This window comes from Homo sapiens, chromosome 18, assembly GCF_000001405.40.
Source record: "Homo sapiens chromosome 18, GRCh38.p14 Primary Assembly".
Classification (NCBI taxonomy): domain Eukaryota; kingdom Metazoa; phylum Chordata; class Mammalia; order Primates; family Hominidae; genus Homo; species Homo sapiens.
The window spans coordinates 27,785,964-27,805,526 of NC_000018.10; the positions used below are offsets into that span (position 1 = coordinate 27,785,964).

Below are 19,563 nucleotides of genomic sequence, written 5' to 3' on the forward strand. Positions count from 1 at the left end.
GCGTGGAGGTGACAAAGCAGACCTCCCCGCCACTGCCGACAGCAGGTGAGGATACGTCAGGGCAGGGCTTAGCCCTGCACTGGCTAAGGAAGGCATGACACTTGAGGTCTGAGCCAGATTGATCCAGATTTTAATAACTGAAAGTGAATGTACTGCTGTTCCCAAGCTCAGGGGACAAAAGAGCGAGTCAACAGAACACGGTTTAAAGTGATGATTGAATAAAAATAAAACCTTTTCATGCTCGCACCCCACGGAGTGCAGAACCACTTCACTGAACACTAAAGTATACATCCTAAGAGGAGCTACTGAATAATGCAGTGGCCATGTCTCCGGTAACGAGAGTAGCAGGTGCCAGTGCAGTCCAGCTGGGCTGGCGAGGAACCGGGACAAGTGGGGGATGGGGCAGAAGAGTCAGAGAGGAGAGACAGGAAGTGTGGCCATTGTTCTGAATGTACTACGCCGTTTCTGAAGCAATTGAAGTAGGTGCAGTGACTTCACATTTTAAGAAGCTGTGTGTGCAGAGGACGCACAGGCAGAGAGGAGCACGAGGCAGGAAGGCTGCATCCAACTGAAGTTAACTGGTCCTTTGTTGCTTCTCCAGTCTAAGCTCTGTGGAGGGACGTCAAGGCCAGAATGGGATCCAGAAGGGTGGAGGATGGGGTTGCCTTAGTAGCATGAAGGATTGGTGGGAGGCAAGAAGAGCCGAAAGTTACTTTTTAAATAATTTGGCTCATATTTGAATTTATCTGATTAGTAGAGCAATGTCTGGCATCCCTCCTGCTTGGAAGGCAGACTTCCCTTTTCCAGCCAAATTCAGTAAGTTTCAGGTAAGGAACAGCTGGAACACGTGGCCTAAACGATATCTTCTCTCCGCAGTAAGGAGTATGGGAGTTGGAGGGAAGGTGGGTTCGAATCTCAAATACAGCCCAGCCCCCTTCACTGGAGCAGAGCTGAAAGTGTTTTGAAACTCAAACCCTAATTAGTAATAAGGAAGACACTTTTGTCTGGGACACCCCCTCCCCATTGTGCAAAGATCTCTCTAGGACCTAATATGGTGGAAGGTGATAGGCAACTGTATGAAAATATGGGGATATGGAGTCCTGCCTAAATGTAATTCTTGAAGAAAAAGCGAATAATACAGAGGAACTAAACGTAGAGAATTTGAAGAGGGATGATAGCAGCGAGGTACAAAAGGTAAAGTGGCAAGACTTGCAACCAGGTAGATATCAAGCATGAAAAGAGGCAGAGAAAGCAGTTTCAGAGAAGGAATTAATGGGGAAATGGCGATTGCTTTAATAGAAACAGAGGGGAAGGGAGAAGATTCAGAGATAAGAGAAAAGAGGTGAGTGAGTCCGATTTTAAACATGCTAAAACAAAAGCATCTCCATGACATTCACCAGCACTTGGAAACAGAGGCTGGAGCTCCAGAGGGAGTTTGGCTTCTTGTCTCCACCCATCCCTTCAGGCAGAGGTGAAGATGGCTTCTCGTCTCCACCCACCCCTACAGCAGCAGAGGTGGAAGTTTTCCATGTTCCCGTGCCAGAAAGAGGAACTAAGCCCCAGCTTTAACACACACAGTGGCTACAAGAAACAAACAACACATCTATTTTTCACATTGACTGATCTACCCCAATGGGTTGGCAATGTCTCTGTGTGTTAGAGAGCAAAGACCCAGCATAAGTAAATGCTGAACTAAGAGCTAAGGACTGCAACTGTAGATGCTGTGAAGTTTGTTACATGCAATAATGAAAATGTCAGATGCCACATGGATGAGGAACTTGGTACATAAGAAACACATGTTATTTAACAATCTGCCACTGAGTGAACAAAAAGCAGCTGAAATCAAGCTAGAGGCAGCCAAGAACACACCACTGAAGTCATTACAGAGCAATACTAGGATTGCCACGGGAGCAACAGTGCTGTGATTCTTCCTCTGACAGAAGTCCAGATCAAAGGAGATGGACAAAGCATGCAGAAAAACTGCTAATAAAGGAAAAAAAAAGAAAAAAAGTACTCACTTAAAGCTAGTGAATACAGTACATAGGATGGCAAGACAAAGAAAAAGAAGGGACATCACTCCCCTCGAAGATGTGCTTATCTCTGGGCTTACCTTTGTGATCCTCTTACTTGGTTGGCTATGTCCTTTACATCTTCCACTGACAGGGACAATAACGTCCCAAAACAGTTTCCCAAGTGCCCTCAAGAGCATGAAAAGGCTCCTCTTAGAGAGGGGTGCACCTACTCCATGAGGGACAGAGTTGAGCACGCCAGACTTTAACAGGTGCAGAGGCCAGAGGTCGGAAATCACATGCCTATAACAAAGGAAATGTAGCTTCGAGCAATTATACAAATTAAAACCAGGCAAAGCACATGTGGGCACAGTAGAAAAGAATATGGGCTAATTCAGCAGAAAACGTTTCACAGCAAATGTTACATTGTGGTGATAAATTTAAATATTATGACAGTTTAGCCTTAGTTTTCTTATCTGCAAAATGGGAATAAGACCACCTCTCTTATAGGGCTGTTGTGAGAACTGCAGGGGAAATAAAATTTTGATCAGAAGACCAACTGAGTAAATTGACTCTAATCTTAAAAGAAAACTATGATATGTGAACAGTTGTAAGCTTTTATTTATTCATTTATTTATTTTGGAAATGGAATTTTACTCTTGTTGCCCAGGCAGGAGTGCAATGGTGTGATCTCTGCTCATTGCAACCTCCACCTCCTGGGTTGAAGCAATTCTCCTGCCTCAGCCTCCTGAGTAGCTGGGATTACAGGCATGTGTCACCATGCCTGGCTAATTTTTTTTTGGATTATTACTAGAGACAGGGTTTCACCATGTTGGCCAGGCTGGTCTTGAACTCCTGACCTCATGTGATCCACTCACCTTGGCCTCCCAAAGTGCTGGAATTACAGGCGTGAGCCGCTGGGCCCACTCAATTGTAAGCTTTTTAAGCTCACATTTCATGAGAAGTGATATAGGAGAACAGTTAGGAATGTCTGTGTTAGCATCCTGAGAATGCAACTAGCTATATAATCTGAGCAAGTTAATAGCTCTGTGCCCCATTGTTTTCATATAAAAAATGGATCTAATAGAAATATGTTGGTCTTAGGTCTATTTAGGATTAAATTAGGGAATATGAGTAACATTCTTACAGTGGTAACAGGCATATGCATAGCACATGTTTATTAAATGTTAATTATTATTAATCGGAGAAGTAGCTCTAGGAAGTTTCCTAAAACTTCCTTACCTGAGCTACTAACTCTACATAAAAAAATGCTTTATTATTTTTGTGTTTTTATTCTAGGAATTGTCTGGAATTTTTGTGGAATCATGAGAAAATTTGAACACAAATATCTCCCGTGGACTAACTGAGCAAGAACTCATTTATCACCAAGGGGATGGTGCCAAGCCATTCATGAGGGATCTGCGCCTGTGATCCGAACACCTTCCACTAGGCTCCACTTCCAACACTGGGAATCACATTTCAACATGAGAGTTGGAGTTGACAAATGTCCAAACCATGTCTCCATCCAACCATCTATACAGGTCTTTTTCTTTTTTTAATCTATGATTCAATGTGATAGTGGGGGTGGATGTGGCTTTTGGTGTGCCTGCTCCTGGTAGGTACTATGCAAATACTAGGACATGACCAGGCTAGTATTCAGACAACATGAAGACAAACCAGTTCTTCAGGTGTTAAAATAATTTCACTAGTTATAGTGGCTACCTTAAGCTCCCCAGTGACTCTTCCCCAAACTTCCAGGGATGTTTGTCATCCAGTAGTAGAAAGGTTTATACCTAGTTCAAGGAAATTTTTTCAAAATAGGGTATCATCACAGCTCTTATACAGATATAAACAAATGTCAACAATTTATTTAACTTATTAAATGATGAGATAACTGGAAAAGCTGTCACAAAAACCTCAGTGAGAACCTGAAGACCAGACAAATGTATAAGCCCATCAGGAGGGAATGTTGAAACAAACTTGGCTAAGCAATGCAAAACTGGCTTCCTCCACAGCAGAGAGGGAAGTTAATTGAATTTCTACAGCACAACAATTCTTTGCATGTCTACAGACAAGAATTATTTGCCTTATATCAGTGTTGTACAATTTGCTTCTATAGAGTTAACTATATCTAGTTATCTCTATACAATTATAAAATAACTCAGACAATTAAAAGCACAAACCCTGTAGAATCAGCTAATCCTGAACTGAACGGTGTGCTTCAAACAAGGCACAGTTTTCCACGGATGACACCTGGCAATCTTTTGGCCCAATTAAAAATCTTTCAAATTTTTTGTTACTATCTCCCCAACCTTGATCAAGAATAATGATAAGGAAAATTTCTCGTAAGGCCAGTCTCATTACAATTGGCCTGATCGTTTGCACAGCTGCAGTGAGAGGACTTCTACAGTTTGCTTTGGAAATCTAGAGCTCTGCGGTATTGAATAATCACAAAATTAACCTCTGTTGGGAAGTTTTCGTAAAGAATTTCAGTTTGGGCTTTTCAAAGTGCCTGTTATTTGTTATGCCAAAGCTAGGAAACTAAGCCCAAAAAACTCTCTTGACCTAATTTTACCTGCAGTTCCTACAAATGTGGGCGAATTCCTCTCTTCTCAATGTCCCTGGTCTAGCAGAAGGTAGCTTTTCTCAGTATGTGTCAGGCAGGGCCTCTGTAAGCCAGGTTCCAGGCCAGTCTTTCTGAGAGGCCTTTATGGGCATTGGTTCCATAAGAAAGTCATAAGTAAAATATTCAATTTTATTCTCTTAACAGTGGCTGTCACACCTGATTAATGAGAATTATTCTCAAATATGACATTCCAGGCAAGAACTTAGTTGCATACCTGATTTTTCTAATTATATCATGGTATAAAGGTGGACAGATTCTTATTGAGCCTGTTGAAATAACTATTTTTCCATGAACAATAAGGAGATTGAGTAAGAATTTCTGATTTGGGGTTACGGGAGGCAGGGGAGGAAGGGAGAGGGAAACGGGTTAGTGACAATTAGATATCATTTAAAAATGCTTCATTTTCGTTTCCAATAGCAGCATCTACTAAACTGTTATTGGTTACAGATAGGTTAAGAATAAAAAAGGAGGACTTGCTTGCAGATAAAGAAGAGAGTACATTAAAAGAACACCAACAGTATCCTAAATAAAGATCTATAATAAAAATTTCCTCATCAGTTCATTCGGTCCTATGTAATTAAATTATGTTCCACCAGATCTTGGATTCAAGAAGCCTTATGCCTCTTGGCTAAAAAGAGTTTGAAAATCCTGACTCGGCCCATTGGTAAGCAATGCCATCTTTACACAAGAATTTATTCTTAGATAATTCTTATTGATCTTTGGCAACACAAATGTTGATACAATTCTGCTTATTCAGGTGAGAATCAGAGTAAAGTAAGTAAAGTAAAAGTTATCTGCACTTGACAGAAATGTGAAATAGGTATGGTTATTTATTACTGATAATTTTCAAATATGAAAGATCTTATATTAGTTCAGAACAAAGCAACTGAAATTTGGTTTCTTCTGTGGGATACAAAACAAAATCATATTACCATTCCAAAAAAAGTTTAGACAAAATATCTCTAAGGATAATATTGAGTTTAGACAAAATATTTCTAAGGATAATATTAAGTCCATATACAAATGTTATATCTAATTTATAAATGCATGAATATAATTTTTATAGAGAAAAAACCTGAGATATAATATACAATATTTCCGAGATGTTGCATACATAATATATCAAGACTATACCAGGAATATCAAGTAAAGAAATTCAGTAACTCTGGAGTAGTGACTAGACATGTGTATTTTTATAAAACTCTATGGGTAAGTCTGATGTGCCTCTCTAATTTAGAATCACCGGCCAGACGATGCTAGATTCAAATTATAAAAGTAGGTTTGTTCCAAGTAGGCATTTTAAAAAATAGCTGAAATTGACTGCTAACACTATACTATTTTTGCAGAATATTATCAGGCAAACTACCACCAGAATTCTGATCAATAGGAACATATTTTAGATAATGTGGGCATTGATAGACCTCTAAGAATTTCCCATGAAAACAACACACAATTTCTGAAATATTTATATTAATACGTCTTATGTATTGAAATTTAACCTTGGGAAATCTGAGCATCTCTTCTGCTGTGCCAATTCGTTAAACAAACCTAATTATTTCTAGCATCATTTAATAGAAACTAATCATTAATTTTCCAGAGATCTTCTGGGAAATCTCAAGGATAGTTTTAGGTATAAAAGATACTCTGAAAGTTTTATTTTTTCTTTTCTTAGAATTTGATTTTTTGAAGGCAAAAATCAAAAAGGATGTCAGAGGAAATTTAGACATGTGATTAAGATAGAACCTCCTGTGGGTGCCTGAGAGACAATACATGATTGTTCATTTAATCAAAGAGACAACAAAGCATTTAAAAGTAAACATAAAGGTAACACAACTAAAAAGAACCTTAGCCTTTCATGAAAGAGGAAGATTTGTTCTTCGTTAGATTTTTTTCCCCTAAAGAATCTCAGTAGAAAATCTCTACGTCCCTTTAAGATAGTTTTTATAAAGAAAAAAGTTATAATCATGACTCTCATACAGACATAAAATGAACGGGTGTCAAAGATTTTATTTAACTCATTAATCAATGAATAAAGGAACTGGAAAAGTTGTTACAACCAGTTCAAAGGAGAATTCAAAGGCCAGAAAAATATAGGCCCTTCAGACATGTTGAAATTAATTTACTTAGTAGGTGTAACACTGGCTTCTTCCACAGTAGGTGTGGACGGGGGTGTTGGGGGGAGCTGGGTATTGGCAGGGCAGAATCAGTTGAACATCTACTAGACGATATTTTTCACATGCCTATAGACAATAATTAATTACATTACTATCAGTTTTCTGCAAGCTAATTTCTCTGTCTACAGAGCTATAGGATAGCTCAAGATAATGAAAGGTCTAAACTCCATAAAATCAAATAGTCTAGGAGAAAGTGCTCAATGTCATGTGCTGTTTTTCTATTGAAGACACCTACTAAATTTGGGTTCATTTAGAAGTCTTCCACATTGTCTTCTTATACCCTGACACAGCAGGGAGCCTTCGTAACCCCACTCTATCAGTTTTCCAGGCTTGTTAATATTTACCACTGCTTGTTAAATATGTTTACTATCCCTCCGGCACACAATAGAGAAAAAGACAGTTTCTGTCCTTCATGGGCTCTTAGTACAATGGGAAAGACAGACCAGTAAACAGAGCACAGATAAGCACAAGGTACTTGTAGAGGGAGGCACTAAATCTAACTTTAAAAGTCAGGACAGGCTTTCTGGAGCAACAGTAGCAATTAGCAAAGAGATTGAGATGGGTGGATAGGAAGGGAACAAGAAAAAAGGGGCCCCAGACAGAAGAAATGGTGTGAGCCATAACCTGGAGGCAAACTAAACCACGGTGAATTTAAGGAACTGCGAGTAGTTCACTTAGGCTTTTGGGGAGAAAAATATACTTTTCACCATCCTTAACTTGGCTCAGGAATACACCCCTCAGTAGCAGCGATATCCTCACTGCCTTGAAGGATTTTAAGAAAAATGCATAGTGAACATATGACAGGCAAAATGTGGGAGCAGGGTATTGTAAATAATTCTCAGCCAATTCTAAAAATGGCTTGCAGCCATTCTAAATATTGCCTAGGAATTATTTATAATGCCTGATATAACATTCTGTGATAACATCAGCACACACAATTGAGAATTTGTTAAAATTTAATCCCAATTGAAAAGCTAGGCAGACGGGGTCAACACGAGAACAGGGAAAGGATTTTCATCAGTAGCATCTTATTCAAGTAAAAGTTAGAAAAAACCCTCAAACTCAAAAAATTAAAATGACCATTTCCCAGAGTTGGTAAATTTTTAAGTGGACAGAAGGCAATCTCTTCTTGGGATTGGTTGCCATATTCAACAGAGGACTAGATTTTCATCAGTCTTGGTGAGATGGGTTGTTGGGAATAGATTCCACTTGTTGGCACATATGTCCCCAGCCTATCCTAATTCTAAAATTACATCTGAAAAAAATGAGATTGTAATCAGAGCTGCCAACAATAAAGAACTCTTCAGAAACATGACAGCTACCATTCATTTACTACTTACCATGTATTAGGCACTTAAAAAAACCAAAACCTTCTGTGACAGATAGTAAATTATCACATCTACTTTACAGATAAATAAGAATCAGGGAGATTATGTAAGTTGCCTAAATTTTCATATGTTGTAAGTAGAAGAATTTGGATTCAAATATACATTTATCAGTCCTAAAACCTGTGGTCTAAAAAGTATACAACATCCAGAGAAAAACAGAGCTCCCTCCAAGGACTTTTAAATGATGACATTTATTAACAGCATCTGAGATTATGAAAGAGGACTTGTTATCTGGGAAGTAGACTTCTGGACCATAACCAGGCCTGCCTTTAACATCATTTGTAAGGCCTTGGACAAGAATACAAATGAAAATCCACGTACCATATGTCTCAATATTAAAAGTAATAAATCAGTCTAACAAGCTGTTAAATAAAATATGTTCTATACCCTTGCCTTGATAAATATATTTTATAATGACTGGAGGGTCAGGGTCAAATTTAGAATCTCTCGGCTCTAAACATGGCACCTTGTCTCCCCAAGTCCACCCCCTCCAACTCCCACACACACACTCTTCCAAGTTCTGGCTCTGTCCCACACTACAGGGGACCTGGCATGCATGTATGCTGTCACCCCATCCCACATGTCCAAACTCCATCCACAACCCCCACACAGCTGTCCCTTAGCTACTAGTTATGTGATCCACCTCCAGAGTATAGATTTAGGGAAAAGTCCCACACAAGTCCTAGAGGTAAGCTCAGGTTCCTCTGGACAGGAGATCCTGGGAACCCAAGTATGGCCTATAAGGTGATATCCAAAGTACTGTCTTTAAACCTGTCTTGGTCATTGAACTGTTTATTACTAGTCTGCATCAAGAAAAGTACAGAAAGTGAAAGTACGCATCTAGAGCTTTTCATTACAATCTGACATTTGCTGCAACATCCAAGGGCAGGGTTTCATATTAAAAAATATATATTGGTGGGCCAAGAATAGGAAATTTTTAAAGCTGGGGTTGGGGTTTTACCCATAAATGGGTAGAAAAGCTCTGCCTAGAATGGGAAGGAGGAGAAAATCCTGAGGGACACAGCCCTTTGCCCACAGACCCACCCACCATGGGGAAGGGTCCAGCCTCAGGAGGGCCTGGCCAAGGACTTCCAAAAGGGGCTTCCTCTTACCCAGGTCTAAGAGCAACCCTGACAATCACAAGACCATTTCTGCTCTTTCAGTGTTACTTTAAAGATCTGCGTGCCTGGGGCCTTGGGCTTGATGAAGCTGAGAGAAACGGGAAAGCAAGCTTTGCTGTTACTGTGTGAGCTTTGGGATCCCACATGACAACAAGCAGGTGTATAGCTAATAATGGCTAACAGGAAACCTCTAAGACTTTAGAACTCCTGCTACCAACATTCTGCTGATTACCTCCACCAGGACAATCAGGTCAAAGCCAATAAAATTTAGCTCCTATTAATTGAGGACTACTCTGACATTTCAATGGAAAGATTTTAGATTCCCTGTATCTTTTCTTGCTCCAAATCCCAAATCCTGCTGAAGACACATTCCTCAGCCTCTTTTTTTTTTCTATGTCTGTTGATAAAGGAATTTTAAAATAAAGCAAGGGAATTTGAGACATTTGAGATCTGTTTCAAAGAAAATGAATTTTTTAAGGAGTAATACAAATGTAACTCAAACTGCTACTTGCGGTCTTGATACTATTGCCTAAAGGTTTTGGCCAGGAAGAAATTGTTTTTAAAATGACTTAGGATAAGAAATAAGATTTGCTACTATGACTTTTTCCTTTTCATAATTTTATTTATTCAAATATTAACATGCATATCCTTCACTCTTTACCTACTCCCTCCCTTTTTCTATCCCCTTCAATACACACATATGCATACCCACACCAATAAACCAAGAGCTGATGAGAATTGTAATAGCTCCATTTTGTTTAAACACTATATTTAACTATTAATAAATAATAAGCTTAGCAAATACATATTTTTGGTACAAATCATGTAATAAATAATTATACTTCTAAAGTAATAAATGCCCAGCTAAAATTAACTTATTTTTATTAAAATATTAAAATTTTATTCCAGTGTAGCTCCTAGAAATTCTGTATTAAAACACAAAATTCAGTGGTCTGGATTTTATGTAGACAAGCAACACAGAAGGTAAAGTAAAAAGGGAAGTCTGCCAGTACCTTCCTTAGAGAAAATTCCTCTCAGTTTCTCCCAGAGCACACATGTATTTTATGACAAATTGGCCTCCTTCACTTTGAGGCCAGGGTTTTATTCAGCAGCAAAGTTCACTGTTAACTTTACATGAAGGTTAAATTAAAGATTGTAAACCAACAAGAGTTTTCAATATCACACTTAAAATTACGTAAATAGTGGTCAGTAGCACCAATACCTTCGCGAAATACAAGTTCCCGTAAGTACATACAGGATTTTAACCCTGGAATAGTCTGTCAACAATATCCCTTTTTCCTCAAACAGTGACTTGATCTCTGGAGGCCTAAATGATTTAGATCTGTTTTTCCTGAGCATTTCTTGGTATTAACTTATCTTAGGCAGGCTTCTTTTCTTTCCCATAGACAAATAACTCTAACCTTTAATGTGCATAAGAATCATTTAGAAACATTTATAAAATTTAGATTTCCAAGCCACATCCCTAAAGATTTCAAGTCAGTAGATCCAATATCTCACTAGGAATCTGTACTTTTAAGAAGTATCTTAGGTGATTTCAATGCAGTTGTTTAATAGAATGGCTTTAAAGAGATGCCATATAGGAACCATGACTGTCTCTAAGTACTGAATTGGATCAACTCATGCTTACTGGCAGTTTGAGCTCATTTTATTTTGTTGACCATGGTATCACGGTGGGGAAAAGTAAAATTTCACAGAATATGTCACAAACCGTAAACATTATGGAAATTAGTTGAATAATTATATAATCAAACTTGCCAAAGTAAATACAGATCTATGTATGCTCTCTTATTAGGAAACTTTTTGTTAATTAAAGCAAGCAAATGACTGCATATTATTATATTTCAAAGCTATTGTTTAACACTCTCAAAGAATATTAATTAATAAGGGAGAGTATCTGCTATTTAATATTTAGTTTGGAGACCAGACATCGTGAAGTTACATGTAAACTTGTATCTAATCCCAAAAGTTAGAGTTGTGTTGCTCTGTAAAACGTTAATCAGGTTTGCATCTATGAGCAAATTTATCTCAGTGTTCTTTTGTGTGCCTGACTACATATGAATTTGTCAAATTCTCCTTTGAATCCATCTTACTGACTCTTTCATTAAGCAATGGGTTGAATGAAAGAATTGACATGTATTCATTTTATATTTGTATGAGAGACATGTTTTTGAATTTTTCTGAGAATTGTGCTTTGACTGTTTTGGAGTACCACTGAGATCTCAGCTGCACTTACCTGCCAAGGCCAATTAATCCATGTTGGCCAAGAAATATAAGTTCTTGCGTTGTTTAAACCCAGGCACATCTTTTCTTGGCTCTCTGAGTGAATCTCAAGCAGCAGTAGACTCTCTTGCTGACTTTCTGTTTCTCTTTTTAGTTTCCTGTCTGTGTTTTTGTTTTGTTTCTGGTTCTTGGCCTCATTCAGTTCTGATTCTAGTTTGTGCACAGCCAATGCATTATTTCCCACTGGAGGCCTTGATGGTCTGTATCAGGATGATGGACATCTGCCCTCTGTCAGGGGAGAGACCAAAGATAATTTTTTTTTGTGTATGTCTCTTTATGTCCCCAAATCAATTAAGAATATATTTTGTACCCACTAAAAAGGAAAACAGCTCTTTGAGACAGAAATTGGTGAGGTTTTTGTGTTTCTGTTGACTTTGCAAAACCTGTGGCTCAGATTATGTAAGTGAAATGTGTCTGTGTGTCTATAATTGAGAAAAGCCTTAACCTCTCATTGTGTGAATTTGAAAATTTTCCTACCTCTGAGGAGTATTAATAAATTTGAAGATAAAGTCCCTCAAAATAAAGAAGCTTTGTATTGTATTGATGTAGTAAATGCTTATGTAAGTAGAACATTCTTTAAATTCCCCCAGAAAATAAACTGAAATTTAAATGTGATAGCATTTTAAGACAAAACAAATTAACTTCTAGCCCAGAAACATGTTGTATATAATAATCTAAATTCACATAATCAAGATGAACCATTGGACAAATAAGACTGGTTGATAATTTTGATTAAGAAAATAGCTACATATCTTTCTTGTAATTAGAGTTTAGTATAAGAATTTTTAAAATTTTTAAATAAATTTGCAAAACTTCTTATACAGGTTTATTGATCAAATAAGCTAACCCTACTCCTACATTATTTTTTTAAATTTGAAACATATAAAACCATGTTCTACTAAAATTAATTATAAATTTGATAGGCTTTTGGATATAAACAGCAATTATGTTCTGATGTTCTGTAGAGTTTCAACCTCAATGTGATTTTCAAAGTCCTTAGTTAACTACAAAAAGTTGGACTAATTTTAAATAGAGTTAATTATTGGATAATCTTCAGACACCTGGATAATTTCTAAGTAAAAGAGAATACTGAAACCCAAGTACAGTTTTAATATATGTACTTTTGCTTCTTTAATATATTATAGAGTGGCTACAGTTTTAAATAATATTATTAAATTTGCTCATTCTTGACATTTTAAGAACGCATAAAACTGATGCATGTGGCTACAGGGACTGAGCTTTCCTGACTAGTTTGCTAAACTGCTTATGTGATAGAAAATTATGAATGACCTATCTCTTGGCAAAATCGAAGTTAGTTTATTTGGTGGAAGTTACATTTAGCATGGGTAACTGAGATTATACCAGAAACAGAGCATCAGAGGAATACAACTCTGTATGCAAAATTATGAGATATGTTTTTGTTTTCCTAGAAAAATGAGAGCAGTGTTGACCTAAATGAAAGTGTCAGCTTGTTCTAAACTATAAAACATCACAGAGAAGAACAAAATTTAAGTTTGTCTAGCAAGTTGTAGACATTTTGAGGGAAGTGAACTTTATTTACCTTGGTTTATAATATCCAAGTCTGAAAATAATGAATTATGTTAAAATTTTGAAAAAGTTTGCACAGCCTTAATGGACTTATTCTTGTTAATTTGTAAAGAAGCTTGAGAACACTTTACTGCCAGCTAGAAATTAACACAAACAAGTATTCATGCAAACTAGAAAGTCAGTTTCTGTCTGTTGAAATGACAACTGATCTTAAAATATTTAGTCTGAACAATGGGTAATAAATGATTATTCTTCACTTCTGTGTAACCTGTCCAAATAGTATTCCATACAGCAGATTAATTTTCTGTGCTTTGTGTTGCTTTACAATGTCTTTGATTATCATTAAAACAAATAAAAGTTTGTTCTCATAACAGTGCTAAGGTCATCAGAGAATGGATTCTGCAGAAGCAGATGCTGAAATACTTTGGTGGGCAGGGCTCAACATCTCCAGGGACAGGGCAGGGCAGAAGCAAGGTAAGGAATTGGCAGAAGTCAAACAACGCTGCAGTTCCCAACCCTAGGGGAGCTCCGGAACACAAATGGCTCATCAGAGTATCCAACATTGGACCAAAATGGCCAGGGCTTTATACCCAAGACCTGATGGGTCACTGGTTATGGGCCACCCTGGGAGATGTTAGCTGAGCACAGCCCTGAGGGAGTTGATAGTTTAAGGCAGCCTGCCGACAGCTGGGCACCAAGTGCCTCCATGAACTGGAATCTGGGCAGTTCACTTTCATGCCCGCCACAATCTCCTGCAGCCACCTTACCTTCTGCTATGTTTATTTTAAAATATTGTACTGTTACCTTGATTCAATAAGTAGCCAACTATTCTACCTCAGGAAGCCCTGGATCTTGCCTAATCAGGTAAGAAATCACTTGTAAAAACTCTTGAGTTAACCTTCTCAAGATCAGAACTCAAATTTAGAAAAGGACAAATTTTTACGATACTTTTTATTATTATCTAAAACTAACTTGGAGGTTTTACACTCAGCCCCTGGATAATCACAAATATGTCTTCTGTTGCCTTATAAAAAGAGGGATGCTAGAAAGCACAGGTATGCTCCATATTTCTCAATGAGCTCAATACTATTGTAAGTTGTCAAATCAAAGGATAAATGTGTGTGCGTTAAATATTATTAGTAAAACAGTTTCAGGGATTATACTCTTTACAGCAGCATTTCTCAAAATGAGGTTCTTAGACATCATCGTCCAGGACCTTGTTAAAAATGCAAATTATAGAGCCCCATCCCAGGCTTACCAAATGAGAAATTATGAGGATGGGATCCAGCAATCTGTGTTTTAATAAGTCTTTCAAGTGATACTGATGCCCGATAAAGGGTAAAAACCGCTGCCTTACAGAATAGATGGAAAGGCCCTGGAAATGTGTTAATATCCTTACTGTCCACTATGTTTTCTTATCCTCAGGAGAAACATTGGTCAAATCCTCATGAAAATGTTATGCAATTTACTGAAATAGAGAATTTTATACTCTTGCGTTTTTTTATATTATTGGTTACTGTGATAAATCAATTACAGCATTTAGATTCATTACCAATCAGGTTTTTCTGTCCTACCCTGGATGCTTGCCTGAAGACTCTGCTATATATAAACCACAGGCTTGAATTTTTATCTTCGTCAAAAGGCAGTCTCAATAACTCATTGGAAGGTCTGTACCAGTGATTTTAAGGCAAAGACTCAGGGGTCAGAGTTTAGAACTTAAAGATGACATTACTTAAGCAACTAACTTTTCCTGAAGACAAAGCCAGGATTTGCAAAACAAGTTTTTTTACTCCAGAAGGAGACAATTTCTTGAAAGTAAAACAAAAATTAATTACATCAAACTAAATGAAACAATGGAAAACATTTAAATGTAGTTATTTATTTTGGAATACATTTAGTATTAGGTTTAAAGTTCTATTATTTAATCAGTATATAAGAAAGCTCTTTTTCTTTGTTTTAGATCTATTTCTACTCATAATTTAGGAGACTATGCTTTTCCCAATTGAAATGAAATATTTGGTAAATGACATCTGATTCCCCTCGGAATTCAAATACTTCTACGGAGTCTTCTTATTTTTAATGAAAATGTGGTTATTTGCATGTTTTCAATGAGAGTCTGTCCACCTTCTTACTAGAGTATCATTGCAAAAATTAATTGTGCAACCAGGACCATAATTGGTGTTTTGTATTTGAGAATGATTCTTATTTGATATGGTTTCACAAGCTCACCATTAAAGAATAAGGATTGCACATGATGTGTGCAGCCAATAACTACAAGGCCCTCCTAGGAAAATTGGCCTGGAACTTGTTTCATTGTCTGGAAGATTCCAGACTCAAAGGGGCAAGGAATGTTATTTATTGCTATTCAGAATCTTATAAAATACTGGGAATATTTATGAGGTAGGATTTCACTCTGACTTACAGGTACCACATGTGAAGTTTCACAGAAGGCATTTCTTGATCTTGGTTTTCTACACTCAGGATAAAAGAACAAATAATAGAGGCTTTTAAAAGTCCAAGACAAGATTTTTCTAGAAAATGTTCATGTAGAAGTTAATTTTCTTGTCTTAGTTTATGAAATACAGTATGCTTGAAGAGCCTTATATTGTGAATTTATGCTTCTTACTGTACCTACGTAAATAATCAGGTCAAAATTAAATGAGGGTAGCCTTTTTATGTTGTCAGGAATAATTTTAGAGGGATAACTATAAGTAGAAGAATGAAACTAGATGCCTATCTATTACCACACACAAAAGTCAGATAAAAATGGATTAAAGACTTGAATCTAGGATCTGAAACTATGAAACTACTGGAAGAAAACATTGGGGAAATACTCCAGGACATTGGTCGATGCAAAGATTTCTTGTGTAAGACCTCAAAAGCACAGGTAACCAAAGCAAAAATAAACAACTGGAATTATATCAAGCTAAACAGCTTCTGCACAGCAAAGGAAACAATCAACAAAGTGAACAGATAACCCACAGAATGGGAGAAAATATTTGCAAACTATCCATCACAAGAGATTAATAACAAGAATGTACAAGGAGCTCAAGTAACTCAATAGCAAAGAAATAGATAATCTGGTTTAAAAATGTGCAAAAGATTGAAAAGACATTTATCAAAAGAAGACATACAGGCTGGCATGGTTGCTCATGCCTGTAATCCCAGCACTTTGGGAGGCTGAGGTCAGAGGATCACTTGAGCTCAGGAGTTTGAAACCAGCCTGGGAAACATAGTGTGACCCTGTCTCTACAAAAAATTTAAAAAATTAACGAGGCACAGTGACACATGTCTGTTGTCCTAGCTACTCAGGAAGCTGAGGTGGGAGGATCGCTTGAGCCCAGGAGTTCAAGTCTGCAGTAAGCCATAACTGCAACACTGCACTTCAGCCTGGGTGACAGAGTGAGACTCTGTCTCAAAAAAAAAAAAAAAAAAAAAAAGGTTCAATGAATGAGGCATCTCACACTCAAGTTGGCTAAGGTGATCTAGCAATTCCACCACTGGGTATATGCTAAAAGAAAGGAAATCAACATATCAAAAAGTTATCTATAATCCCATGTTTATTGCAGCAGTATTCACAATAGCCAAAATAATGAAATTAAACTAAGTTCCTATCAAAGCATGAATAGGTGAAGAAAGTGTGGTATATATACACAATGAAATACTATTCAGCCATAAAAAAATGACATCCTGCCATTTACAGTAACATGGATGGAACTGGAGGTCATTATGTTAAGTAAATTAAGCCAACCACAGAAAGACAAATATCCATGTTCTCATTCATATGCAGGAGCTAAAAAAACTGGATCTCACAAAAGTAAAGAGCAGACTGATGGTAACCAGAGGCTGTGAATGGAAGGGGAAAGGGAAGGGATGCAAGGGAAAAAAAGAAGGTAAATATTTATTGCCACTGAACTGTGCACTTGAAAAAGGTAAAGATGATAAATTATATATGTGTATCTTACCTCAGTAAAAAAGAATAAACTTTAGAGACTAGTTATGATCATGGTAGGGGTAGGGGTACAGTTGAGAAAATTGTTCCAAATTAGAAGTAAAGTTTAAGGATAACTAATATGGTTTGGCTCTGTGTCCCCACTCAGATCTCACCTTGATTTGTAATCCCCACATGTAGAGGGAGGGAGGTGATTGGATCATGAAGGTAGTTTCCCACATGCTGTTCTCATGATAGTGAGTGAGTTGTCATAGATCTGATGGTTTTATAAGTCTTTGAAAGTTCCTTCTTTGTTCCTCTCTCCTGCCGCCTTGTGAAGAAGGTGCCTGCTTCCCCTTCTGCCATAATTGTTAAGTTTTCTGAGACCTCCCCAGCCATGCGGAACTGTCAATTAAACCTCTTTCCTTTATAAATTACCCAGTCTCAAGGAGGTTCCTAGTAGCAGTGTGAAAATGGACTAATACAATAGCTACATGTTCTTTCAGTATCATTGTTTAATTATAGATTATATAAATATCAAGGAGAATGCACCTATATTTAATTATGTTATTTAATATTTTTAATTAGAGTCCAAAGACTCTGAAATTACACGATAATTTATAGAGTTCTGTGGAGTAGAAAAGATAACCCAGTTCTTTACTTTGTATGTCATTAACCATTTTTAAAATCTATTCACAAAAATTTCTTACAGCGTTTCTTTGACTGCCTGACTATATAAACTTATATACTTAAATTCTCCTTCGAACCAGACTTGCCATCTAACTGGTTTCCTCATCAATTAATGAGTTGCATGTCGTTTTAGGTTTGGTTTTACCACATTATTCTGAGCATATTCAGAATAGGTCAACATGCTACCAAATTAATTATGAAAAATTTATCACTTTTCAGCATTTGTTGGATTTTGGCGGGCAAATTAGGGGATTGTGAACCTATAATTTCTATTGCCATCAAAAACTACATTTACTCAGCTGTAGGGGACTCATGTCAAAGATAATAAAAAAAAGGAGTGTGAATCCTCAGAAATGATTCATAATTTAGTATCTTAGAGTGCAATCTAATGTGACTCATTTCTTTGAGGAGAGTAACAGAGTTGCAAATGTCACATCCCCAAAATAATGGCAAATAATCTGTGATTCACGTTTAGAAAGACTTCATACTCAAGATCCCTAACCATAAAATTTAAAAAACAGCAAACAAAACTGAAGAAAACATGAAAGTTATAAATAAAACTTTCTTAAATTTAAAATAGGTGAATTTTCCTATAGTAATACTTCATGGCAAATATAAACCTCTGCATAATATCACAAATCTTTTGCAGTCTTTGAATAAGTAGAATACTTAAAACCAACACATTCAGAGAAAATAAATGCCAATTTATTCACGGCAAGATTGAAAAAGGCTTATAAAGACATGAGTAATGTAACTTTTAATGAACAAGAATGATCTCAACATTAGGCATAATAATTAGAGTCTAAGCTCTTAAAATATGGCTATGTTTAGATAAACAGAAACAGATAAACACAAGTGCAAGGGTTACTACAATGAAAATTCTATTGTACATTATTTCTTAGGATTTTTGTAACTTTTATGCAATGTTTTGAATATTGAAGACTTTGATTTAAATTTTAAAACATTAATTAAAGTTTCTTAACTTTCTCCCTAGCAAAAACTTCTCATTTTTTGTTTGTTTGTTTGTTTTTAGGACAGGACTAAGAGAAAGGCAGAGATTCATGGCTTTTTAAAATGGTATTTATGGTTATTCCCTCCTCCACCTCATCCCTAACTTACCGGAAGACAAAATGACATGGGAAGAAGAGGAAAGTTGTTAGAAGGGGAGCTCTAGACAGCCAGGAAAGCTGGAGTCACAAGTGGACAAGGAGACCCATGGAAGCGACTCATGATAGAAATGGTTCTCCTTTGGTCATCTGCAAACTTTACCCAACAATGGTATCTCCTGGTATCGTATGAAATAAAACCAGAAGTCTGGTATTTTGGTCCCAGCTGTTAAGACTTCTGCCTGGATTAAGCCTTCTTTTCCATCTCTCTGAGGGGCCACCCTGCTCAGATTTCTCACACTTGGGCAACCTGCCTTGATATGTGAATCTTACTTAGGAAAACAGACAATTTTCTCTGGTCACTATCTCAGCCCACAAGGGAGATTTAGCATTTTTAGTCGACCCTCTTCTGCCACAATCCTAGAAGCTTGCAAATATGAATTTATATCTGTAGATATATATCATCTATCTATCCACCCATCCATCTATCTAAATGTATATTCTAACTATCACAAATATGTTTCCACTGTGTAATTTTCGCATAACAATCTACACACATAAATAAGATACACATAGTATTTCAGAACTCATTTGATTCACTGTGAAATCTAAAGGTAGGGAAACCTTTACTGAGTGAAGGTTTCTCTTAAAAGCCATCTCTCCCAAAAC

The 19,563-nt window shown here is 36.9% G+C and overlaps 1 long non-coding RNA gene across 2 annotated transcripts; it reads left to right on the top strand.

Annotated features, from left to right (window-relative positions):
* The first annotated feature begins 442 nt into the window (after positions 1-442).
* Positions 443-19,119, top strand: LOC105372042 (uncharacterized). 2 transcript variants are annotated; one of them, XR_935323.3, is made up of 5 exons: positions 443-827; positions 3,309-3,550; positions 5,232-5,299; positions 16,958-17,060; positions 18,822-19,119. It is a non-coding gene; the product is annotated as an uncharacterized LOC105372042 (long non-coding RNA). The 2 variants fall into 2 exon arrangements; XR_935324.3 differs by lacking the exon at positions 5,232-5,299.
* The last annotated feature ends 444 nt before the right edge of the window (positions 19,120-19,563 follow it).